General features: G+C 38.4%; 1 protein-coding gene across 5 annotated transcripts, besides 1 other annotated feature; it reads left to right on the top strand.

Annotated features, from left to right (window-relative positions):
- The first annotated feature begins 1290 nt into the window (after window positions 1–1290).
- LOC124904200 (uncharacterized) lies at window positions 1291–26282 on the top strand. 5 transcript variants are annotated; one of them, XR_007066173.1, is made up of 5 exons: window positions 1291–1610; window positions 1712–1825; window positions 15440–15531; window positions 16036–16140; window positions 25965–26282. XR_007066173.1 is itself a non-coding variant. In XM_047437552.1 (5 exons), exons 1-4 carry the CDS (start codon window positions 1589–1591, stop codon window positions 15965–15967), a joined length of 396 nt encoding a protein of 131 aa, XP_047293508.1. In that variant the 5' UTR covers window positions 1291–1588; the 3' UTR covers window positions 15968–16140; window positions 25965–26282. The 5 variants fall into 5 exon arrangements, 1 of the variants encoding a protein (XP_047293508.1); XM_047437552.1 differs by having other exon boundaries at window positions 15800–16140; XR_007066172.1 differs by lacking the exons at window positions 15440–15531; window positions 16036–16140.
- Window positions 12678–13178: an enhancer, noted in NCBI's record as "OCT4-NANOG-H3K4me1 hESC enhancer chr1:76518436-76518936 (GRCh37/hg19 assembly coordinates)". NCBI's record gives its function as "activates a minimal SCP1, AML or CMV promoter by ChIP-STARR-seq in primed H9 embryonic stem cells {active_cell/tissue: H9 hESC(primed)}" and the evidence as "EXISTENCE:reporter gene assay evidence [ECO:0000049][PMID:30033119]".
- Window positions 26283–27487: the final 1205 nt, after the last annotated feature.

Genomic DNA, 27487 nt, shown 5'->3' on the forward strand with positions numbered 1-27487 from the left:
CTAACACCAGCTTTGTGGTTTACTAAGTGATATCAATTTCCCAGCGTGGCAGATGACAATGTGTGTATGTAACTTGAATAAAAGCCAGGGCAAAGAGTTGAAACCAGCCTCATTGTCTGGGTATTACTGGAAGTTCTTGTTATCACGGCAGAGGAAATCAAGGATGCGGACACTCCAAAGGTGAGGTTAGAGCAGAAGTTTAATAAGCGAAAGGAAGAAAGCTCTCGGGAGCAGAGAGGGGTCCCAGAAAGATGGGTTGCCATTTTACAATGAAATGCAAGGGTTTTTATAGACAAGCTGGTGGGGAGGGTGTTTCATTTACATAAGGCTCAAATTTCTGACAGTTCCCACCCCACTTTTTCTAGTGCTCATGCGGGCTCCTTAGTCTGAGTTACTCCATGTTGCCTATCTCTTCCCACTGCGCATGTGTGAAAAAGGCCAGGAGGCGGGACCCTCTACAGTGGACGCTCCTGGTCCAGGGTAGCTCGTCTTATCAGTGCTGCTGCAGGCACTCCCTGCTGTGCAAACCTCCTTGTCTGAGTATTTCCAAGAAGGGAGAGGACTGTGCTTACTGGGGCCCACTGTATGTCTGTATGTCACACAGGAGGCCCCTTTCTGTGTTAGAAGCTGCTTTTTTGTTAGAAGGGAATTCTACTTAGGACCCTTGCCCTATCTGCCTAGTTGATTTCTTTCTCTCTCCTCTCACAGAGTGTCACAGAAAGAACTCCAATCCATCAAGCAAAAGTAATTAACAGCAATTCAAATCTTTATTGGACTCTTAGAAAATAAACAAGGAGATCTAATTTGTAGCTCCCACATAGATTTTTGTCTCCACTCCTGTTGTTTTTAATTAATTCAATAATATTTACTAAATGTCTCCTATGTGTCAGACGTGCTTCCAGTGCCCATAGAGCCTGCATGTCTCCACTCCCCGAGTTCCCCTCTCCACTCCTTGGATTCAACTCTCAACTTCAAACTGAGTTTTGAAGTCAGTCAGGAGTGGGGGAGGGCGGTTTTTTTTTTTTTTTTTTTTTTTTTGAGACGGAGTTTTGCTCTTGACACCCAAGCTTGAGTACAATCACGCGATCTTGGCTCACTGCAACCTCCTCCTCCCGGGTTCAAGAAATTCTCCTGCCTCAGCCTCCCAAGTAGCCAGGATTACAGGCGCCTGCCACTACTCCTGGGTTCACTTTTTTTTTTTTTGTAATTTTAGTAAGACGAGGTTTCGCCATGCTGGCCAGGCTGATCTTGAACTCCTGACCTCAGGTGATCCACCCGCCTCTGCCTCCCAAAGTGCTGGGAGTACAGGCGTGAGCCACTGCGCCTGGCCGGGAGGGTGGCTCTTGACTTACAGGGCCTCCCCTCCCCTCCAAGGTCTTCTTTAATTCTGCACATTATTTTAATTATTTCTAACAAGTACCTTGATCTTCATTTGTGAAATCTAGTGACCCAAAGGCAGCTCCCAACCTCCCTGGGAGTTGATAGGGGTGGGGTTGGGAAGAGAGGGGAGAGAGGAAGAGCTGCTCTTCCCAAGAAGGGTTTTTGTTTTGTTTTGTGTTTATTTGTTTTGGCTTTTGGTTTTTAGTAGATGGGGGATGTACACGTGAGAGGTGAGGGAGAGAGCAGACTGCAAACCCTGTAACTGATCCATGTATTATCTGTTCTTTTAACTGAGTAACATGCTTTTCAAAAGTGTTTTTCCATGTTTCAGAGACAGAAAAGGGGAGAAAAAGAAGAAGAAAAGGGAGAGGAAAAGGTAAAAGAAAAGAAGAGAATGAATTGCAGCTGAGGAAGTGGAAGAGCGAGAAGCGCTTCCAGATACCAGGTAACCTCTTTCTTTGACTCCTGATTTGCCACTCATCTCCCTAAATGCCTTAATGACCTGTCACACAGGTGACTCACATGAAGGCCACATGGTGTATGTTTCTCTTACCCCTGTCTGCTATTGAAGACATAGGATTTAGTTTTGGGAAGATGTGTGCTGGAGAAATAAAAAGCAGACACAGTGGTTGAATGCAAAATGAATCATAGGAATTATCCAGTAAAATGGCTTAAAATCATATTCCAGGCTCTGAAGTCATGGAAAGTCTCTCTTAATGCATTGGAACCTAATCTAGTAATTTCACCTGGGTTCCCCATCCAGGCATCTCTTTTCTAATTTGTTCAGAAGTAAACAAGGTAACAGCTTTTAAACAGCCAATTGCCATGGACATTGATAAAATCTACAGGTTTCATTACTTGATGTCCAAAGACATTTCGTCCTATTTACATCAAAAACACTTTGGAATTCTGAAAGACAGCAAGCCTTTATTTGAAAGAAATACACGTTGAAGTTCTTTAAGGATGAAAGCAGAACTGTCTTGGAGCTGATGCTAAAGCAGAGTGAGAAGACCATGTGTATTTTCAAATAAATTTTGAAAAACTCCTGAGACTTGGGAAAGGGTGTAATAGAACAGTGCCTATAACTGAGCCTTGCAGAAGCTTATCACAGCATAGAAGAAATTGATGGAAAACTCACATGGGCATCAGAAGTTTCCTTTTATTGGAAACTTTTGCAGTTTTGGAGACTCCTTATAAAGACCTGAGTTGTTAGCAGGCATCTAAATCTGGCACTAGAAACAATTGAGATGATTTTACAGTGTATCTGCCCAGATCCTCACTACTAGATTTTCTGGGTGTTTTCTTATTTTTGACACTTGCCTCAATCAAATTGAGGCAGTCTTTTAAATTTCTGTCTAAAATTAACTGGTATTTTCAGGTATATTGGCATCATTTTAAAATCCATTTATTTTTAAGAACATTTGAATGTGAAAAGAGATGTATATGCAAACTGTTGGATCAGGCAAGTTTCCTTCAGGCTGTCTGGATGTGTCTATCTATAGCATTTGGCACATACCTAGCTGTCACTCAAAAAAGATAGCTGATGTTCAAAGTTAATCTGAAGTACCTACTTGAAGTCTGCTTTATTTATTTTTTTAATTTGGCCAGTTCATTCTTGGGGAATGGAAAGGAAGGAAAATGGCCAGGCACAGTGGCTCATGCCTGTAATCCCAGCACTTTGAGAGGCCGAGATGGTCTGATCACTTGAGGTCAGGAGTTCAAGACCAGCCTGCAACATGGTGAAACCCCGTCTCTACTAAAAATACAAAAATTAGCCAGGTGTACTGGCATACACCTGTAATCCCAGCTACTGGGGAGACTGAGGCAGGAGAATCACTTGAATCTGGGAGGCAGAGGTTGCAGTGAGCCAAGATTGTACCATTGCACTCCAGCCTGGGTGACAGAGTGAGACTTTGTCTCAAATAAAAGAAAAAAAAAGGGGGGGGGAATGAAAGGAAGTGTTTCCAGTTATTTGACTTAATTCCATATACTTTAAAATTTATATTGAACATTAGAGAGTTCTTCAAGTGAATGTCGAATATTAGTCTGTCATTTTACATTAGAAGCAATGGGCTTAAGTCCTCAAACCACATTATAGCTAGACAACACAAAATGTTCACCCTTAGTGTTAATTAACTTGAATACTCAGGTCAAAGGTCTTTATTTTGGCCTATGAATAACCAAATACTGATAATCCACTTTGGTGATTGAGATTGCAAATCTACAGGTTTTGGGGGATTGAAGTAGGGTTGTTTTTTGGGGGTTGGATCTGGAGTTTGTAAAAATCTGTTATGGGGCTAAAACAACTGGAATTCACCTCTTTGTCTCTGAAATCTTAGAGATAAAGCCTATATCCTTAGTATATAGCCTGGGGTTTGAAGAGAATTGATGCTGATGGACTCTTGGTTGCCTACCTGTATCGTTTCTTCTTTGTTTCTACCAGAACCTTGATTTTGTTTAGATATCTCCTCCTGTCCCACATAGTAATGCATTTCAGGGGAAGCTGACCCCAATCCCACCTCTAGGTGTGGGCCTGATTGGCAGAAACATGACAATCTCATCCCCTTGCTCATGTTTAGTTCAGTGATAGGCATGGGGCGCAGCTCTGGCCAGTGAAACTAGAGGCAAAGTTTGCTGGGTGGGGGCAGAAGAGGAGTTCCAAAGACCATTTCTGAGAGAGGATTATAAAGATATATTTCCCTTATTCCTCTGAATGTTGCTGTATTTGCATGTGATGCCTGGAACTGCTGCAGCTATGTTGCTACCAGCCTGAGGTTAATGTTGATATAAGGAAGGGAGAGCAGAGTAAAAAAGAATCTGGCTCTTCAATGACCATGATAAGCCACTGAATCAACTAACTACTTCTAGACTTCTTTCTTTGTGAGATAATAAATTTCCCTATTGTTAACACCATTGGGTTTCTTTTATTGCCAGACAAATGGACCATAACTGATAAAGCTGTCCGTGGGGATTTGGAGCCTTGGTCGATTCGGTTGCTGAAATAGCTTTCCTAGTGCCACAACTTACAATAATGTGGGCTTTAACTATTCTATCAAAAATGAAAGCTGTATGAGACAGCTCAGCTGAAGATATGCCATTTTAGAGCAAGAATCAAAGCTAGTCTGTGTGATTTGGGGTGATCCAACAAACTTCAGTGTCACTTATTAAATTGGGCTGAAAGTGCCTCTATTTCCCAGAAGTACTTTCAGGATAAATTCAATTATATAGTTTTAAAGTACTTTTAGAAGAAAGACATATGAATTTGAATAATGATAGCCTTTTCTGACATGTCTTTATATCCATATAAGAACAAAGGCTTCTAGCATTTCGTCTCTCCTGAGTCTATGGAGTAATCAAGCATGTATGCTATTGTAATTTCAGTGGTAGCAAAGAAAAAAAAATAATTCACAGAGAAAATCACTATAGAGATGTACTTCTGAGATCCATTCCCATTATACTTGGACAAAATAGCCGCCCATAAGTGACACAGAAGTATACAGAATCTCAGAACTAGACTTTTGACACCCCAGTGGAGTGCAGATTCTGTAACATCATGCAGAAACGAACAGAATGGTTTTGAAGCAAGTTTAAAGACAAAATTAATATACAGTTATTTTAAGAGGAGAAACATACTATGTTTGTGGGTAGACTGATTCAAGTTGAAACATGCTAAATTTTCATGAGCAAGAGAATGAATGAATACAATTGAATATTATGTAGCAGTGAAAATTAACAGACAGGATGTACCTACATTTACATCAATGAACTGCACATGTATAACAATAAACAGAAAAAGTAAGACATAGAAGAATATATACAATATGTTAGTATAAAAAATAGTACCATGTAAAGTGAGACTATTCTTTAGGGATATTACATTTATAGTAAGTATAAAGAAACTCATGATGGTGATAATCACTGCATTTAGAATACTTGCTACCTCGGAGCATTAGGAAAGGGAATGTGACCAGAGGGAAAAGCAAATGGGTATTTTACACTTTAAATTATATTGAAATATTTTATTCTTTAAATTGAATAGCAAATGCATGAATCTTCACTCTATTATTTTTATAGTTTTATTGTTTGTGTGAAATTTTATAAGATGTTTACAATAAAACAAAATAAGACTCTCAGTTTTATCCCTGATGGGAGACACACTGGTACTGAAAATTTTCTCAGCTGTGTGAGAATGACAGTCTCACTTTTGACTTAGAAGATTCTAGGTTCACTACTCACTGTGGTGTTTTTCTAACCATATAAAGAGGGAAGCTCCTTGATACTTATGTAAGAGAGCCAGACAAATATGTGAGTCTAAATAGAGTCTCTGGTTAGTTTATTATAATTGTTTTTCTTTCAATCCATGTCAAATGTACTACACTGTACTCTAGCAGGCAGGGTTATACTGCTCAGATACTCTTCCCCTTGCAAGGTAATTGTCATGGCTTTTTTTATGCGTCAATGTGACTGGCTCAGAAGATGCCCAGATATCTGATTAAAAATTGTTTTTAAATGTGTCTATGAGAGTGATTCTAGAAGAGGTTAGAATTTGCATCGGTAGACTGAGTAAAGTAAATGGTTCTCCCTGTGTGAGAGGGCATTATCTGACCTGCTGAGGACTCAAATAGAACAAAAAGGTAGAGGAAGTTTCACTTTACTCTCAGCATCTGGCTGCCTAGGCTAAGACATCTGTCTTCTTCCTTCCTTACACTGGGACTTACACCATCAGAGTTCCTGGTTCTCAGGCCTTCGGATTCAAACCAGAGTTTACACCACTGGCTTTCCTGGGTCTCTACTTCGCAGCTTCTCCAATTATGTGATTCAATTTATATATATAAATATGTGTGTGTGTATATATATTTATTTGTAATTAATTAATATTTATTTTAATTATTTTCATTAATATAATTTATATATTTATTTTAATTAATTTTTATATTTTATATATATAAAATCTTCTGTTACTTTGACCCATTGTCCCATTGTCATCTTGCAATAACTCTTCACCACACATCTCTCCTTCATGGCATTTAAGGCAGTTGTATTTATATTTATTTGTGTAATCAATTGATCAATGTCTGTTTTCCAGACAGACTGCAAACTCCAAAAAGGCAGACTATCCTGTTTTACTCACCATTATATTCCCAGAGCTTAAAAAAGTGTTCAGTGTATACTGGCTGGATTAATTGAGTAAAATAAAACAGGATCCACATCATTTTTTTTCTTCACCGTAGCCTACTGACATAAAGACTTTCTTAAATTTTTCCCAGTGACATAAAAAAATGGGTTACTGTCTTCCTTCTCACCATATCTTTCTGTTTCATTTTTCTTGATTATTCTTAACACTACTTGTCTATTTTATTTTTGGTTTCTCAAACCCGACTTGGGATAGGTGATACCAGGAAACATGAGGAAGGCAATGAGAAGAGTGAGGCAGTAGAGAAGACAAGCCAGGGAAGGAGACTGGAGCAAGATTCTGATCTGAGGGAAGAGGCACCACATGTCCACACCCTCAGAAGACTGACTGGTCTTCATTCTGTGGTATAACTAGAAGCGGGGAATTGATGGGGAGCTGGAAATTATGCATCTTGGAGGAAGGGCCAGTCAAATTAGTTGGCCACGAACTCACTGCTTATGTAGATTCTGGGGACATAGTGTGGCATAGTGGTTGAGATGCAGGCTGCGGAGTTAGCCAGACGTGGTTCAGACTGAGGTAGGTTTGAGATCTCCTTCTGCCAGTGCACCGATTGGGGAGCTTTGGGCTGTAATCAACAGAAAACCTAACCCAGATGAGCTTAAACAATAAGAAATTTATTGACATAGCTGGAAATTCAAGTTTGGGTAACTTTCAGGGTCAGCTTGATCCAGTGGCTCTTATTCTTTTTTCTTCTTCTTCTTCTTATTTTTTGCCATACTTTCCTCCCTCAAAAAGTACATGTACTTTTCTCTGTCTGCTTTGTCCCCAGGCTGGTTCCTCCCTTGGTGATTCTGCATGCATGCCACCTTCCCAACATCAGCCTTTTTCCTCTTCTAGGAGATCCCAGATTTTTTTTTTCTTACTGTAAAGACAATATAGGTTCATTTTAAGAATTTGAAAAATAAAGAGAATAATACATAAAAATTAAAATTATCACTAATACTTCTATTTTGAAAAATCTCTAATGAGCATATATATATATTTTACATATACTTGTGAATATCTTTAAGATACATCTGTGTGTATGCATGTGTGTATATATCTCATCATGTATGTTAAAACAGTTTGGCTTTCATTTATATTCTGTTTGCCAGATTTATTCTGTTTGCCAGATTTAATCTTCTCTTATTAGACATTTTGTTGGGTTTTAATAAACATGACATTACTTTTCCAAAAAGAAATTAATTTGAACTTTATATAGTTGTTTAAATCTAAATGACCAAGTTATGCCTTTTATGCAAAGGTATTAAACCTAATTGCCTTGCAGCAGGGTTTCTGTTTAGTTGATAGTACTTGTTTTTACTTAGAACACTTAGCTGATTTGAAATTGAGTATTAGTCTTCTGGTTTTGCCTTGTGTTGTTTGATGTTGGATTTGAGAATAGTTTGCCTGGGGCCTTCTTAAACCTACATTGAAATAGTTTCCTCGTCTGGTGATTTTTATGTCAGAAAAGTTCCGTGAACTTGTATCATATTTACTCCCTGGTGCCAGGTTACTGTGCTCTCTGGGGGAGCGCCTGTACACATACATTTATGAACATAAGGATGGTAAATTGATTGTGGAAAATTCCCTTTATACATGTAGAGGAAATGCTTTTTAACAATATATACATTCTGAGTCTAACACTGCCAAGAATATAAAACCCCAAATCCCTAGCCTGTGTAATGTGTAATTATCTGTGAAACTAGATTTGTGTGTATGTGTTTGTGTGTGTGTGTGTTTATGTGTGTGTGTGTGTGTCAAGACACAGAGCTTGGTCCCCATCACCTGTGGGTAATTAGCTGGGATTGCGGAGTGCATCTGGCTATCCTTGTAGACATCAGTCTCTGTTATGCAGAACCAATAATGGTTTCTCATCCTGGAAGCAACCCCCTGCTAATCTTGGTGAAATAGCAGTAGCACTCACAGCAGCTCTGCTTTCATTAAAAATTAATGGTGATGTGGGCACTGGGAATTAATTATGAGCTGTGAAATCTATGTCTGATATGTTTAAGAAAAAAGAAAACTATGACTGCTCAAAATAGACTATTTTCAATGCATTTTGGGTGTTCCCTTTCTACCACAAAAAAGGTTTAATTGATTTCAAAACTCCTTTTTTTGCTCTTTTTATTAAAAAATACACAGTTCGAAGTGCTTCTTTTGCTCTTCAATGATTAAAAAAAAACAAATAGTTCTTCCTTCCAAATAATTCTTTCTAATAAAACTGGTAATATGTTCATAATTTTGCTGGCAATTTGGGTACTAGAATGTTTATATCTTATTGAAAGCTTAGAACAATAGTAATGAAATCAGAAGAGATTTATTATTTGCTGCTGTTACTTGTTTAGTATTTGTTTCTGTTAATTATTTGAATTACATGAAATATGTTTTGCATTAAATCTTTCAGTATGAAGGAACAGATGCTTGGGAAGATAGAAAAGAATCCTTTTGCCTTGGGAATGTTTTCTCCTGTTTTTTTATGATTTGGAATTTGGTGCTTTTCCAAGGTATTCTAAATGCTTAATGAGGTCTGGTAAGGATGATATGACAGGCTTATAGGAAGTGCTAATTTTTACAAATGAGTTCTTTCAGGATTTGCCCTCAGGATTTCACTACCCTACGTTTTGAAAGAAAAAGCTCAAAGTAAGGTACTTATGTCCTGAAATATCTGTGGGGCATGCTCTTTCCTTCCTTCTTCCCTCCCTCCCCCCTCCCCCACCTTTTCTTCCTTCTCATTCATTTATTCATTCAATGATTTCTTCATCCCCCATTTTTGATTACCTTAGGTGTTCACTGCACTTGGTTCTCTCTGAGATGTGAAGATAAAACAAAGCCCTAATGAGCCTTTATTTAATCCTTACAGCAACCCTATGGGTTAAGGTTAAACTATCATTTCCATTTAAGAAATCAAGGCTTAGGAAGTTAAATCCTTGGTTGCTCAAGGTCGCTGAGTTAGTAAATGATAGGTCAGGGTCTTTTTTTTCTGTCTTTGCTCCCTTGGAGCGAACTCTCTCCCTGTTCTCCCTATGTGTCAGAGATGGCTCTGAACCCAGATCTGTGGGTTTCCAGAATGTAAGCTCATTACCCTACACCATTCTGCATTAACACATGAGATAGAAAAATGTGAGAACGATGAAGCATGATTTAAATAGACTCAACTAAAATGTAGATGAATCCGTGGATGATAAAATCTTCAGGAAGTTAATTTAAGAATGATACCATTTATTGTGCACTATTATGTCCAAGAAGTATTTACATTAGTTATCACTATTTTTTTTTGTTGTATGTGTGGTTTTTAAAAAAAATTTTTTAAATTATACTTTAAGTTCCGGGATACATGTGCAGAACGTGCAGGTTTATTACATAGGTATACACGTGCCATGGTGGTTTGCTGCACCCATCAACCCATCATCTACATTAGGTATTTCTTCTAATTCTATCCCTCCCCGCAAGCCCCCACCCACCGACAGACCCTGGTGTGTGATGTTCCTCTCCCTGTGTCCATGTGTTCTCATTGTTCAACTCCCACTTATAAGTGAGAATATGCGGTGTTTGGTTTTCTGTTTCTGTGTTAGTTTGCTGAGAATGATGGTTTCCAGCTTCATCCATGTCCCTCCAAAGGACATGAACTCATCCTTTTTAATGGCTGCATAGTATTCCATGGTGTGTATGTGCCACATTTTCTTAATCCAGTCTATCATTGATGGGCATTTTGGTTGGTTCCAAGTCTTTGCTATTGTGAGCAGTGCTGCAATAAACATAATGTGTGCATGTGTCTTTATAGCAGCATGATTTATAATCCTTTGGTTATATACCCAGTAATGGGATTGCTGGGTCAAATGGTATTTCTGGTTCTAGATTCTTGAGGAATTGTCATACTTCTACAATGGTTGAACTAATTTATACTTCCACCAACAGTGTAAAAGTGCTTCTATTTCTCCACATCCTCTCCAGCACCTGTTGTTTGCTGACTTTTTAATGATCGCCATTCTAACTGGCATGAGATGGTATCTCATTGTGGTTTTGATTTGCATTTCTCTAATGACCAGTGATGATGATCTTTTTTTCATATGTTTGTTGCCTGAATAAATGTCTTCTTTCGAGAAGTTTCTGTTCATATCCTTTGCCCACATTTTGATGGGGTTGTTGGTTTTTTTTTTTCTTGTAAACTTGTTTAAATTATTTGTAGATTCTGTATATTATCCCTTTGTCAGATGGATAGATTGCAAAAATTTTCTCCCATTCTGTAGGTTGCCTGTTCACTCTGATGATAGTTTCTTTTGCTGTGCAGGAGCTCTTTAGTTTAATTAGATCCCATTTGTGAATTTTGGCTTTTGTTGCCATTGCTTTTGGTGTTTTAGTCCTGAAGTCTTTGTGCATGTCCTGAATGGTATTGCTTAGGTTTTATTTAGGGTTTTTAGGTTTTAGGTCTTATGTTTAAGTCTTTAATCCATCTTGAGTTAATTTTTGTATAAGGTATAAGGAAGGGGTCCGGCTTCAGTTTTCTGCATATGGCTAGCCAGTTTTCCCAATACTATTTATTAAATAGGGACTCCTGTACCCATTGCTTGTTTTTGTCAGGTTTGTCAAAGATCAGATGGTTGTAGATGTGTGGTGTTATTTCTGAGGCCTCTATTCTGTTCCATCGGTCTATATAGCTGTTTTGGTTGCTATAGCCTTGTAGTATGGTTTGAAGTCAGGTAGCATAATGCCTCCAGCTTTGTTCTTTTTGGTTAGGATTGTCTTGGCTGTGCAGGCTCTTTTTTGGTTCCATATGAAGTTTAAAGTAGTTTTTTCTAATTCTTTGAAGAAAGTCAGTGCCCAAAGTAACTTACTGATTCAATGCTATCCCTATCAAGCTACCATTGTTATCACTAACTCTTACTGAAATCCTATAAGGTTGTCCCATCTACAGATGGAAAACTGTGGCTTAGTTTAGAAAGATTATCTTGCTGAAGACCATAGATCTAGAAAAAGTTTGGAGATTTAAAGCCAGGTGTGTTTGATTTAGGTTCTTTTCATGACACCACATGATCTTTGGAGGTTGAAGTCATAGAGAGCCACTTGCTATGACAGAGAGGAATCAACTAGAAGTTTACATATTCTCTTATTGGGTGCTTAGCATATGCCAGGCTTTGCGCCAAGCACCTAAGCTACAGCCATTGTGGACCAACAAATCTTTCCCTCAAAAACCTACTGTCTAGTCCTTCTGACACTGAAATCAAAGCTGCTTTTAGCCCACTGCCTATGAGAACATTTCTGACATATCTATTTATTTTGACTAAAAATGGTGCATAATCAGGCCATATTTCTGAAAATGTTAATTAGGAAAGCAATTTTCTGTTTTCATTAAGGACAAGTGTCTTGGGTGAGGAGAGGGAAGAATAAAAGTTAATATTTGGTGAAACACTGGGCCACACTAACCATCACATTAACCACGGGAAGAAAGTCAGCTTTGGGGTTTTAAGTGTTTAGAGGTCTCTTATTAAAAAAAAAAAAAGTTTATTTGAAGTTGCTATGGTTACATTTTATTCATAAAGGTAAAACAACTGAAAAAGTGGCCTAGAGAAATAATAATAAAGTCATGAGCCAACATTTGCCAAGTGCTCGCTGCATGCTCGGCACCACAACACATGCCTACATGTGTCATTTAATGTAATCCTCACGACAACCCCAGCAGATAGCCTTATAATTCTCATTTTACAGAGCAGAGTAAGGCACAGACAAGTACAGTTAACATGCCCAAGGTCCAACAGAAGAATGGGAATTTGAACCTAGGTAGTTTATGATCCAGGTTGATTAAATTCATTTAACAATTGCTCATTTGTCCCTTTATTTTGCTCATCTAAACACAGTATAGCACTCATTTCACTTAATTCAACAGAGAGTTTTGCTTCAAGCCTTCTAAAGTGTCATAATTACTCATTGTTATCACAAAACATGTATTTAGAACCAACCACATGCCAGGCCTCATACTAGCTGACCAATATACACAGTGTTTGGCAAAAGCTAAGGTAATGTTTATCTTTTAGGTTTGTGTTTTATGTAAGTCCCTACAATGTTATATCTTCTCATAATCTTTCTGCAGAAAATTACAAGCTGGCTGCAGAATAGCAATGAGTTATTCTTTTCTATTCTTTTGTGTAAGACATAATTCACGTTATGGAAAGGTCTGATTTCATAAACCTATGATTAGGTGAGGTAACATACAAACATGTAGATTCATTCAGGGTCTAGTTTTTACAGCTTTCTAAAGTCCATATGAGAACTCCAGTGTGTCTTCCTTTAAAAAATATATACCTTGTTTTTGGAAGATGATCTAGGGGGTAAGGTAAGATTGAGGTCACAGGAAACAAGGGTCCATGATAATTCAGTGCAAGGTGTTAGTTATTGTGGTTGTTGGCAGTCAGAGAGTGGTTAAGTGATGACCGTTGCAGCATCCTTCCTCTGGCAGCAGCAGGAGCTGGGTGACGCTGAGCTGCCTGTTTCCAGGCCACTCACTGTGGCTTTGATGTGCTGTGTCTGCAACTCATTCCCCAGTTCTGTTCTCCAGCATTTCATTGTCAGCCACGGCCAGGGTACCCCGCCGCCTCTCACTTCCATCACACAGCCAGCCCCAGGCAGACTGTTTTTAAAAACATAAGCCAGTCTTGCTTCTCTGCAGATGGAATGTTTTACGTGAGAAATAATCCAGCTGAGTGTTTGCTCCACAGTTTGAATAAGAATGAACTGGCCAGTGGCTTAGTAGGGATTCAGGTCAGGAATGTGTTCTGCTGTCAGAAGGGGAAGTTAATGGTGGAAATTTGTAAACTGCTGTTGTTGGGTTGACATAATATGTATGGTCTAGTAGGATTAGAAGTTGATTCTAGAGTTAGACACAGGTTGAAGTCCTGGTGTTGCTTTTCAGTAGCCACCCCTTGTGAGCCTCAGTTTTCCTTCCATGAAACTGAGGAAAAACTTGATGCAAGAAGTGAAGAGAGAATGCAGGTACAGTGTTTAACATATTGCCCGACAAATGCTCAGTTAATGCTGTCTATTTTTTTTTTTTTTTTGGTCATTTTGGTCTTTATTTTATGGTAAAGGGAAAGCAACCCACTGTTTTTAAATCTTCCGCAAAAGCATGGTTACCAACGGCCTAGAAAATGACAAATAGTGTTAACTCCTTCATATCAATACCCTTTCCACTAATATTGTTTCAAGTGGAGCCAGTATGATTATGCTTTGATTTGCTAGCATGATTAAGCATATAACAGTGTAAGAGTCAACTAACTGATGACTTTATCAGGGAAGCCTCCATTCTTATTTTAAATTTCCTATCTTCTTTTTTTATTTTTTTGAGACAATATCTCACTCTGTCACCCAGACTGGAGTGTAGTGGCTGTCGTAGCTCACTGCAGCTTCAGCCTCCTGGGCTCAAGCATCCTCCCATCTCAGCCTCCCAAGTACCTGGTACTCAGGCATGCACCACCATGCCTGGCTAATTTTTAAAAAATTTCTTGTAGAGACAGGGTCTCACTATGTTTCCCAGGCTGGTCTCAAACTCCAGGGCTCAAGCAATCCTCTTGCCTTGACCTCCCAAAGTGCTGGGATGATAGGCATGAGCCACTGCACTTGGACTGTCTTTGTAATTTTATCAGATTTACTTTAAATGCTTTGTCGTTTTAGTGACAGAAACATGTGCATTCATGCTTATTTTACTCTCTTGGTGTAATTTTCTTATATACAGCCCCTCTTTAGCCCTAACAGTACTTTCTGATTAAGTTTTCTTTTGTCTGGAATTAATATTGAAGCATCAGTTTTCTTTTCTGTGCAATGGAATAAACTAGTGATACACATAACATGGATGAATCTCAAAAAACATTAAGCAGAGTGAAGGAAGCCAGACACAAAGATTACATGCAGTCTAAAAGCATTTTTTAAAAGACTCTTGAAAAAATAAATCTAATTTATAGTGACAGAAAGCAGAGCAGTGGTTACTTGGGGCCAAGGGTGGGGTGGGGAAATTGACTGGGGAAGGAATAAAGGAAACCTTTCGTGGTGACAGAAATGTTCTGTATCTTGATTGTGGTGGTAGTTACAAGAGTGCGATCAAACAGTGTTCTTAAAATGGCTGTACTTTATTGTATATAAAGCATGTTGCAGTAAAGTTAAATAACAAAATTCTGATCGGATGGTTTCTGTCTTTTTTACAACATGGGTTTATTTAGCCTTAATTATTAACAACAGTTGCATACTCAAAGATTTCTAGATTGATAGCTATTTTCCCTCAACATTTAAAATACATTATTCTATTATCTACCTATTATTGCTGAGAAGACTGTCAGTTCCATTGTTACCGTGTCTTATTTTCTTCTCCCCGGAGCTTTGTTTACTTCTTGTTTTGGATGTTGTGCATTTTCAGTAAGATGTGTCTTGTTGTGTATTTGTATTTTTATTTATTTTGCTTAAATTTTGCTATGATTTATTACTAAATATAATGACTTCTTTCTTTAATTGTGGAAAGCTTTCAGACACTCTCTTTGGATATTGGTTCTCCAATCTCTCCATTCCTTCCTTTAGGAATTCCTATTAGATGTATGAATTAGACTCTTATTTTAACCTTTTAGTATCTTAATATCCCTTAGATATTTCATGTTTTTAATATCTCTTTTATTTGTGCTGCACTTGTGCTAAAATAATTTCCCTAGGTCTATCTTACATTTCATTAATTCTTTGTCACCTGTGTTGGGATTTCTATTTCAATGAGTATACTTTTTGTCACTATGATTTCAATTTCATCCTTTTCAAGCATGCCTATGTGTTTTTTAATATTTTCTACCTTTAGCTCTTTGGACATGTTAATCATGTTTATTTCTAAATCTCTTTCATTTTCTTCCATTATTCCAGGTGATGGTGTGCCAGTTCTGCTCTCTGCTGTATCTGTGTCCTGTTTCCTTATGTCGTTTGTAATTTTTGATCACAAGCACATTTTCAACAAGGTTTGTTTACCATGGGACCCCCATGAGGCCTGAACTACAGAAGTGGTTTGGGGTTTGCCTCTGCCAGGTCCCTGGAGGTTTCATTGGCCTTAGATTAATTTTTATGTTAAACTTCTGTGGTAAATTGTGTTTCTGGAGAAGACCACAACAATAGACCCTCTCCCAATAGCTCTTTTGTAATGTGATCTTGCCACTCCTCCATCAAGAGGTGGAGTTTATGATCCCTTCCCCTGATTCTGAGCTGCCTGTGACTGACTTTGATTGACAGAATGTGGCAGAAATGACACTGCATCACTTCCAAGACTGGCCTTATGAGACTCCCAACTTTTGCTTTCACTACTTGGAGAGCTCCCTTTTGGAGGCCAGTCATCGTGTTAGAAGCATAACTAACTGGAGACCACTATGTGGTGGAGAAGCTCATGCTGTCTACATATAGAGGGAAATGGCATATCAATGAATTAAACATGAAAGTGAAGATTTCTTGGCCCTCTCCATCTTACTCAGCTCATTGGAGCCACCAGCTGAAAGCAAGGGAGTGAATGAGCCCAGCCCCGAGTGGAGCAGAAGGAGCCCAACCAGCGAAGCCCAGCCTGAATTCCTGACTAACAGGTGATGAGCAAGTAGTTTGAATCCACCACCTAGCCTTGAGATTCCGATTCTTGCAGTCGATCCTTTTCCACTCATTGTGTAGGCAGTTGGGAACATGTCTTCTCATTTCATTACTCTAGTGGGGGAAACTTTTCAAGTGTTTCACTGGGGCCCTTTCCAGTCAGATTAGTTTACTGCAATGACTAGAAATGCATCTTCACTCATGATGGCCCAGGTTAATTCTTGACCCCTCTGGCACAACTGTCTCTCATCATCATAAAGAAGCATAACATATATAACTATTCCCTCTCTTATGCCACCCCTCTCCTCACAAACATGTAGTGGTTTCCAATTTTCTATGAAATAAAACTCTTGTTTTTCAGTTCCAGATATTTTTATCTAATGAAAGGCCCACATTTCTTATTTATGTATCTATTTATTTATTTATAAGAGATGGGATCTCACTATGTTGCCCATCTGGTCTTGAACTCTTGGCCTCCAGTGATCCTCCCACCTTGGCCTCCTAAAATGTTGGAATTATAGGTGTGAGCCATCGCATCCAACAAAATCCCCACTTTTCTTATCTCACTGGTCTACATATCTGTTTCTCAGTCAACCTGAACTATCTCTTCTTACTCTATGTACCCCACTCCATATCCTGTCTCCATAATTTTACTCTCATTATTCTCTTTGCATGAGATACCCAAAGCTCTGGTGTTCACATGTAGATAGATCTAACCTATCTTTCAAACCCCACTAAATCACCTCCTCCACTATAAAGCCTTTTTTGGTAACCCAAGCTATAATGTCTCCCTCCTTTGAAGCCCAGTAATATTTTTTACCTGTCAATGTCTTATGATTTCTACCTTCTCAGATTTTTAAAGCATAGTGGTTTAGAATAGAAGTTGACAAATTACAGTCCAAATTACTGACCAAATCCAGCCCACTATCTGTTTAGGAGAAATAAAGTTTTATTGGAACACAGTCACGCTCATTCATTAAGATACTGTCTATGGTTACTTTTGCACTACAATGGCAGAGTTGATTCTTCGTAAGGGAGACCAGCAAAGCTTAAAATATTTGTTGTCTGGCCTTTTACAGAAAAAAGATTGCTGATCCTTGATTTAGAGCATGAAAATTGGATTTTGTATTACACCTTAATATATATATATATATATATATATATATTTTATTTTACTGTAAGTTCTGGGATACATGTGCAGAATGTGCGGGTTTGTTACATAGGTATACATGTGCCATGGTGGTTTGCTGCAACTATCAACCCGTCATCCAGGTTTTAAGTTCTGCATGTATGTATTTGTCCTGATGCTCTCCCTCCCCTTGCTTCCCACCCTGCGACAGGCCCCAGTGTGTGATGTTCCCCTCCCTGTGTCCATGTGTTCTCGTTGTTCAACTCCCACTTATGAGTGAGAACATGCAGTGTTTGGTTTTCTGTTCCTGTGTTAGTTTGCTGAGAACGATGGCTTCCAGCTTCATCCGTGTCCCTGCAAAGGACATGAACTCATTGTTTTTTATGGCTGCATAGTATTCCACGGTGTATATGTGCCACATTTTCTTTATCCAGTCTAACATTGATGGGCATTTGGGTTGGTTCCAAGTCTTTGCTATTGTAAATAGTGCTGCAATTAACATATGTGTGCATGTGTCTTTATAGTAGAATGATTTATAATCCTTTGGGTATATACCCAGTAATGTTACCCCTTGATATTTACCAGCTGTATGATTCACAGCTTGCTGTGAAGGCCAAGTGACAGAATATGAATGCACTCTTTTGGAATCTATAAAGTATAAATGTAGAGTGTTACTATTGCTATTACTTTTGCCTAACTCAAAGTGTGTTATGGTTTGCCTCTAACTGAGTAAACAGTTCTTATAAGGAAATGGAAAGAAAGTAGAAACAGGATGGTGTCAGTGAGATACCACCTTATTCCTGCAAGAATAACCATTATCAAAAAATAAAAATAATAATAGATGTTGGCAGGGATGTGATGAAAAGGAAATGCTTTTAGACTGCTGTGGGAACGTAAACTAGTACAACCACGGTGGAAAACAGTGTGGGGATTCCTTAAAGAACTACAAGTAAAACTACCATTTGATCCAGCAATCCCACTACTGGGTATCTACCCAGAGGAAAATAAGTTATTATACAAAAAAGATACTTGCACACGAATGTCTATAGCAGCACAATTTGCAATTGCAAAAATATGGAACCAGCCCAAATGCCCATCAATCAATGAGTGGATAAAGAAATTGTTTTATATATATATATATGCACACACACGCACAAATACACACACCCACATATATATATATATACACACACACACCATAGAATACTACTCAGCCATAAAAAAAAATAATGGCATTCACAGCAACTTGGAATGGAACTGGAGACCATTATTCGAAGTGAAGTAACTCAAGGATGGAAAACCAAACATCATATGTTCTCACTCACAAGTGGGAGTTAAGCCATGAGGATGCAAAGGCATACAAATGATACAATGGACTTTGGGGACTCGGAGAAAAGGGTGGGAGGGGGTAAGGATAAAAGACTACACACTGAGCACAGTATACACTGCTTGGGTGTTGGGTGCACCAAAATCTCAGAAATCACCACTAAGGAACTTATTCATGTGACCAAACACCACCTGTTCCCCAAAAAACCTATATAAATAAAAAAGAAAAAGAAACAGGGTGGTGCTATGTTGGGTATTATTGCATTCTTTCTATAACAGTGTATAGATATGTGTGCACAAGCAACGTGATCTAGATAGAAGCTTCAGTAAACAGAGACCTATATTAAACTTAGAGAAACAGAGAAAAATTTTCCCTTGTAAGCTCTGATGTGGAACAATGTGGCCACAGTATAGACACAGGTTAGTGTGTACCAGCACATCTTTGGTACATATCTTTGCTGTGTAAAATGTCCACCTGAAGATGAGATTTCAAAAGTGAAAAAGTTGACATTGTCCTTTCTATCTTGAAATAATCTCTCAGCTTTTGTGTTTTTGTAGAGGCAGATTTTTGAACATGGAATGTCAAAGATGATTTCTCAGTGTGGATAAAATAAATGAGAGGCCATTGTTAAAAACAAAAAATGAGGCCAACTCCACACTGACAGCTCAGAGATGGTGGTTAAGAAAGCCCTGTTTCTAACCAAATCCCACAGCCAGTAGTAGTTTAAAAGAAGTAATGTATGTCCCATCAGGAAATTTTGCTTCTACATCTCTTCTGGGATGTTATTAAATTTTCTTCTAGGAAGGAGACCAGTAAGCTACAAATTGTTTTCTCTACTGTTTGTGCAGTGAAAGCAGCGGGTGGGAGGGGAGTGTTTAAGGAGTCTGGCATTCTGTGGGGCATCAGGGCCTCTTTAATTAGAGGAAAGCTGTCAGGGAAGATGGACAGTGTTCCCTTTGTTAGGGCAACACAGTGTCATTCAAAATCATATTTGTTTTTAAACTCGGTGTATTTGCACACAACCACAATGAGATACACAGTTTAGATGATGCATGAGAATTTTGATAGGAGATGTTTGCTTTCAAAAATAAAACAAATAGTGACACAGGCTTTTGAAAACCAAGAGTTGCAATGAGAGTGCTGTGAAAAGTTCACTCTAACTTTGAAATTTGCTGGTAAATGGGTTATATCAGCCTGAGGGGAACTATAACACACATGGATACTTTGAATATGAAAATGGAATAAAAACTGTTCTGTCAGTAGAAGTAAATTTTACAACACTGAACCCTTTGTTGCTTTTTTTCTTTCTTAGGCATCTTCAACTCTAAGTAAATTCATACAACAATAAAATGATATAAATTGTTAAAACTTTTCAATTTCTAGGACTTTCGTTGACTTGGGCAAGATTAAGAGGAGAGGTTAGTGTCTGCATATCTTAGTGATGATATTCACATCATCCAGGAAATTTTATTTTCCAGAACAAATTGACTATTATGGCTAATCAATAGTGTACTGATACCTTAATGAAGCGTTTCCTTTAAGAGAAGTGACCTAGGGTGGAACCTGTTGTTGACATTTGTCCCAGGTCACTGGTATATAAAATGCCCTGTGTTGTGCTTACTTTTTTATGTTGTTTTATTATAAGCAATCCTGGATTACCCAATAGGCAAGCTACACATTCCAAAAGTATCAATAAAATAGGAGCATGAAAAAAGAAACAACTAGGGTTGCTCAAGAAATTGATATATAAACATCAAAGTAATTTTCATGAAAGACAAAAATGAGACTCTATTGGACTTTGTTATAGCTGCTAGTCAGGCACCACATAATGATGTTTTGATCAATGATAGGCCACATATACAACAGTGGCTCCATAAGATTATAATGGAGCTGCACTGTATAGATGTATCATTTTTCCTTTATACCATATTTTTACTGTAGTTTTCTATGTTTAGATACCCAAATACTTACAATTATATTACAACTGCTTACAGTATTCGATAGAGTAACATTCTATAGGGGTTTGTGGCTAGGAGCAGTAAGCTGTATCATAAGCCTAGATGTGTAGTGGGCTATACCATCTATGTTTGTGCAAGTACACTTTATGATGTTTGCACAATCATGAAATTACCTAATGATGAATTTCTCAGAACATATCCCTGTCGGTAATGACTATATGAATTTTAGCAAGGTTTCTATGCTAAATCATACATTGGGGGAGGGAACACCAGAAAATTTTCAATGCTTAGGCCTTTAAAAGTCATAATCAGGCCTGATTACATGTCACATCATAATTTTGTTGTATCATAGTAGGCTTTTTAGAGAAAATCAAAGAAAAGACACAGCCCCATAGACTCCACAAGGAGCCTACACAAGCATAAGAAATATACCCAGGAAACAATTAGAGACCTAATCAGTTTATAATTTAGTTATAATTGTGTTTGTTTGATGTTTTATTTGGTTTGACTATGTTGTTAACTCTCATGTTGACAGAGTACTTTATTAAATTGTCAAATACCCATTTGTTTGAAATATGGGTAATTTGCAGTTACTGATTTACATGCTGTGAGACATGACCCACCACACTGCAGGTAGATGATCAGAGAGTATCTCTCCATAGTTGAAGTTTGCCCAGCTATAGCCCAGTAGACTAATGACTGTGGAAGTGAGCTGCATGGAACTCAACTAACTGGAGCCTTCAAATAATTGGATTTTTTCCTCTTGTACTATTTTTTCTGTTTAAAAAAGAAGCAATGCCATGACAATAACCCAGATAAGTTTTTTTAAAGTGGGGTTCCTAATTGTGGTTCTGGAGCAGTACATATTAAGCCCAATTTCCTGGCCCGCTTCCATCTACAGTTCTGCTTAGTGAAAACTATTATTGCTAAGGATGATGCTGGAAAACCCCAACTTTTAAAGAAGTATTACTTTTGTTTGCAATATTGAAATGAAGTAGACAAACAGATTCAGAAACATTTTTTAACCATAAGAATTGAGGCAGAAATTTTCTATGTAACTCTAGTTCATTTTACTGAAACCACAGTTTTATTTATTCAGCTCTACTTCTATCATTGAGGTAATTAAGTTTCATTGTGTCTGGCCTGACATCTTTCTTAGAATATCCAAGGATGGCAGCATTTCGAAGTAGGCCTACCAAAGACATTCATCCACAAAGCCATGTACGTGCCCAAAAAGTGTTTTCCCGGGGGAAATCTCTATTCCCTCCTTGGAAAATTTCACTGAGTTGAAATAACCTTGAGGCCAAATTGCTGGTCTAAGGAAAAATTATAAAGTGTGTGGAGAGAGCCCAACATCTGGTGAGGACCTACTATTTGCCTATTGTTTTATCTACATTACTTCATTTAATTCTGTAAACCAAAAAGTATCCGAGACACATCTCAATCAATTTAAAAGTTTATTTTGCCAAGGCTAAGGACATGCCCATGACACAGCCTCGGGAGGTCCTGATGACATGTGCCCAGGGTGGTTGGGCTACAGCTTGATTTTACACATTTTAGGGAGACATAAGAAATCAATCAGTACATATAAGATGTAAATTGATTCAGTCCAGAAAGGTGGGACAACTCGAAAGATGGCGGTGGGCTCCAGGTCATAGATGGATTCAAAGATTTTCCAAATGTCAACTGATTAAAAGAGTTCATCTAAAGATCTGGAATCCATAGAAAGGAGTGTCTGGGTTAAGATAAGTGGTTGTGGAGACCTAGGTTCTTTTTTTTTTTTTTTTTTTTTTTTTGAGATAGAGTCTCGCTCTGTCGCCCAGGCTGGAGTGCAGTGGCGCGATCTCGGCTCACTGCAAGCTCCGCCTCCCGGGTTCACGCCATTCTCCTGCCTCAGCCTCCCGAGTAGCTGGGACTACAGGTGCCCACCACCACGCCCCGCTAATTTTTTGTATTTTTAGTAGAGACAGTGTTTCACCATGTTAGCCAGGATGGTCTTGATCTCCTGACCTTGTGATCCGCCCATCTCGGCCTCCCAAAGTGCTGGGATTGCAGGCGTAAGCCACCACGCCTGGTGGACCTAGGTTCTTATTATATAGATAAAGCTTCCTGGTAGCAGGCTTCAGAGAGAATAGATTGTGTAAGTGTTTCTTATCAGACTTAAAAAGATGCCAGACTCAAGTAATTCTCTACTGGATGGAGGAAAAGACCTGGAAAGGGAAAGGAGTTCTCTACAGAATGTAGACTTTCCCCATAACAGCTTTGCAGGGCATTTCAAAACATGTCCAAGAGGCCGGGCACGGTGGCTTACGCCTGTAGTTCCAGCACTTTGGGAGGCTGAGGCGGGCAGATCAACTGAGGTCAGGAGTTCTAGACTGAGCAACATGGTGAAACCCTATCTCTACTAAAAATACAAAATTTAGCTGGGTGTGGTGGTGCATGCCTGTAGTCCCAGCTACTCAGGAGGCGGAGGCAGAAGAATCGCTTGAACCTGGGAGGTGGAGGTTGTAGTGAGCCTAGTTTGAGCCACTGCAATCCAGCCTGGGTGACAGAGCGAGACTCCATCTCAAGAACAAACAAACAAAATATGTCAAAGAAATATATTTTAGGATAAAATACTTGGACTTCTTTCAAGGCCTGCTATCTGTCATGTGATGCTATATTAAAGTCAGGCTGGAATTTGCTGTCATTGCTACAAGACGTCTTAAGATCTCTGTTTTGGTGTTAATGCTGGTCAGCTATGCCTGGATCCCAAAGGGAGGAGGGTATAATGAGGCATGTCCAGCTCCCTCTTCCCATCATGGCCTGCACTAGTTTTTCAGGTTAATTAAGAAAGCCTTTGGCTAAGAGGAGGGGTGTATTCAATTGGTCGGTCGGTGGGGGGGGGGGGCGCTTAGAATTTTATTTTAGGCTTACATTCCTCACAAAACTTCTAGGTATATTTGCATTCTTATTATCTTCATTTTTCCAGATAAGAAAGCTGCAGCTGTATTTTTCCAAAAATATTTAACCTGTGTCGAATCATGAATAAATAATCAGGCAAATCAAATTTGAGGAACATTCTGCAAAACAACTTTTCAAAACAACTGTTAAAAACAACTCTTCAACACTGTCAATGTCTTGAAAGACAAAATAGGAGAACTATTCTAGATTAAAAGAGATGAAAGACAAATGATAAATCAAAAGCAATACGTGATCCCTGTTGTCTTCCTGACTGAAATCAACAATCAGGAACATTGTTGGTACAAAAGGGAATTTTAAAACATGGTCTTAAATGTGATAATGATGTGTAGTTGTGTAAGAGAGTATTCTTGATATTATAAGCGACATGCTAAAGTCTTTAAAAGTGAAGTGTCTTAATGTCTGCAACTTACTATCAAATGTTGCAGGGGTGTGTGTGTATGCACACACATGGAGAGAGAGAGAAAGAGAGACAGAGGGGAAAAGTAAATGTGGCAAAATGTTAACAGATGTTGAATTAGCTAGGCACAGTGGTTTGAGCCTGTAGTCCCACCTACTCGGGAGGCTGAGGCGGGAGAATTTCCTGAGCCCAGGAGTTCAAGGCTACATGAACTATAATTGTGTCACTAAACTTCAGCCTGGGCAACATAGACAGACTATCTCTTAAAAAAATAAAAAAGGTAAAACAAATTGATGAATCTCTGTAACGTGTATATAGGGTGTTCTTTGTATTGTTCGATTTTTCTTCAGGCTTGAAATTTCTCCAAATAAAAAGTTGGGGAAATCCGAAAGGATGCTGAGTTGCAGAGAGGTAAAATAATGATAGCAAAGTTGAGATTCAAACCGAGGTGTTTCTGCTTTAGCTTTGGTTCCAACTCCCTGCACATAAGTTACCGCTCATCTGGCTGGGAAAATGAGAGGTCACTCTTGAAAAACTGGCTCACAATACAAAGAAGTATATCCCACCTCACAAATGAGTCAGAGGTACAGTAAAGACTGTAGGAGTTTGGAAGAGGAGTCGATGCTGCCATGCCCTAAGGCCAGGAACTGCATCTCTTTCTTCAGGGCTCTATGTCCAGGTTCTTGGAAACAGTAGGCACTCAAATAAATTTATTGAATAAGTACTTCTTGTTAGTATTGGCCATCCTATGGATTGTGACTTTTGAATTAGACACTTAAAGATGAGTTGGATTTTGATTACTGAAAAGAAGGGAAGACTATCCAGGTAAATAAATGGCATGCGAAAAACAATGCAGGGCAGGGAAGAAAAGTGGGGAGTGAGGGGTGGGGGAAAAGCTGGATAAACTGATAAAATTATTTAATAGCTTATCCTTAGGTCTCATCACTTGCATAGACTGGATGATGGTTTTAGAGATATATTATTTTGTGTTCTTTTTCTTCTTCTTCAACATATTGTTCTTACTGCTTCCCCTGCCCCACACCCATTTTGGATTAGGAGAAGGAATATTGCTTATTGCAAGGGTCAGCCTGGGTTTTAGCCTTAAAACGTCCCAAAGAAAAATATCTGGGCACATTCACTCTGAGGTGCAGAGCTAGAAGAAAGCTTTTCAGGATGCCAAGAGTATTTCATTTGACAGCACGTATTCGCTTTCATTCAAGATGAACCCTTAGCTAAATCTCGTTATTTTGCTATTTCTCATCCATGAAGAAGCCACTTGAGGTGCCCAAAGAACCCTAGCATGCCAACTGTTAGCATGGCTGGTGTGTGAGATCGCCAGCACTATGTACTCTGCAGAAATGTCATCTCAAATGCATCATTTTGCTAAGTAAGTGCCCCTGCTCAGTGCCAACACTAGTTTGTCTTCTGAATAGGCATGCTTCCTAGAAATTACCCTTTAGCTGACCCCACAGCACAACACACGTTACATGTTTAGTGATGTCACTCCCATTCCCTGGTTGCAGACAAGAGATGCCAGAAAAGAGGAGGGAGTTTAGCATTGAGGGAAATAGAAAGTCTCTCATCAGAGGCTCAATGCCAGATACACACATTTCAGGGCTCAGCCCACTGAACATGCAGACATACATGGAATCCACGGTGAGAGTATGGAGAATCCAAGTGGAATGTGGGACCAGAAAGAGGCGGGAAGATCAGAGTTATGTGTAATAAAAGAGCTTTAATAAGTTGCAAGAAAAATTTTGGGTTTCACGTAAAGGAGGATTTTGAAAAGATTAGAACTATTGGAGCTCGGGAATTCCTATAGAATGTTGTGAAATTCCTTCTTTAACTACTATGGATTCCTTTCTGAGATGGATTGAGTTTGTACTGTCTTGTCTGAAACACAGGGTTAATTCAGAAGTCTACTTAAGACACTATTAACATTTATGCAGTAGCCAGATATGTGTGACTGCTTCATATCATTAAAGAATAGAGTAGTTTTGCCAAAAAAAAAAGGTACCACTATATTAACTTTCTTTGGTTTTCCCTAGACTTAACAGGTGGATTTTTGGGTTTGCTGAAGAAGAAAAAGAAGGAGAAGGAGAAGGAGAAGAAGAAGAGAAGTGTGATTAACAAGAAAAAAACTTATTTGGGGGCTATGAACACCTTGAATATTTAACAGAATATCAGCTACTCATCTGTAACCATTCACTACATAGCTAAACTTTTAGTAATAATGTAGGTATTCTCTGGCCAAGAGAAAGATAGGATGTGTGTGTGTGTGTGTGTGTGTGTGTGTGTGTGTGTGTGTGTGTGTGTTTAACAGAAGAAAATGGAAAGAAAATAAAATAAAGGATATTTTGGAGTCAGTGAGTAAATATTTACTTTTAGAGTATAGCATGTTTTAATGGAATATGATGTGTAGGACTGGAGGAAAAATAACAAATATATTTACTTATAATTACTTATTATTTTTACAAACTCTACTTACTAAAAATTATTTGAGACAGCTCACATTTATCCAACAAACACTGCTGAACACCTCATATATCCTTTGCCTAAATTTGTTGAGAGTAAGTACAGAGCACCACATGAGTCAGAATTCATAATGGCATGTACAAGGAATGTGATCACTAGTAGGAGGCAATTCTCTATGGACTTCCTAAGTTTCTGTATGTCTTGTGATAAGAGGTAGAGAATGCCTTTGTTATAGATTATCTTTTCAAGGATATTTGCATTATTGACTAGCCTTGGGGGAGAAAAAGGGAGAGACATAAAGACAGAAAGAATATTTCCCTCAAGAGCAATAGGCCAGCATGCTTACTGCCTATTATAAAGTATTTGAGTTCCCTAAGCTCAGGATTTTTTCCTTTTAAACAAAACCCACAGTGGCTTGGTTTTCTTCAAGTTACCATGTGGGAACTGGGGCTTGGGGAATGGGTGCAATTGCTGTAATAAGTAGTCCCATAACTGTAAGTAATAAATAGTTCTACATCTCTGGCCCAGGGGTCTTGTAGCTTCATCCAACAGCCATAAAAATGTGTAAGTAATTTCTTAGTTTGTATGTGGGGTAAACTTCCAGACCCTTAACAAATTTTGTTATTTGCTTTGAGTATTTGCATTTTATTCAGACAAATACTTGAGCCAAACTTGTACTTTCTCAAGGAAAAATATACACTATCATATTTAATTTTCTTGTTAAATTTAAACTCAAAAACCTCCCCAGGGGAAAATGAGTAAAGGATGTTGTAAAAGAAAGAAGAGTCAAAATGGAATGATGAGAGTACCAAAAATAGGCTGGGTTTAGTGGCTCATGCCTGTAATCTGAGCACTTTGGGAGACCACGGTGGAAGAGTCGCTTGAGGCCAGGAGTTCAAGACCAGCATAAGCAACATAGCAAGACCCCATCTCTATTAAAAAAAAAAAAAGTAAACAAATAGACAAACAAAAAATACCAAAAATAATGAAAAACCAAAAAAACAGGTCAAGAAAAGAGTAGAGCACAGGCATTAAACTTTTAAAAATGTCTTTAGACAAATGTTGTTTAAAAATATTTTAGATTCATCCAGTGGTT

This window comes from Homo sapiens, chromosome 1, assembly GCF_000001405.40.
Source record: "Homo sapiens chromosome 1, GRCh38.p14 Primary Assembly".
NCBI classification, from domain to species: domain Eukaryota; kingdom Metazoa; phylum Chordata; class Mammalia; order Primates; family Hominidae; genus Homo; species Homo sapiens.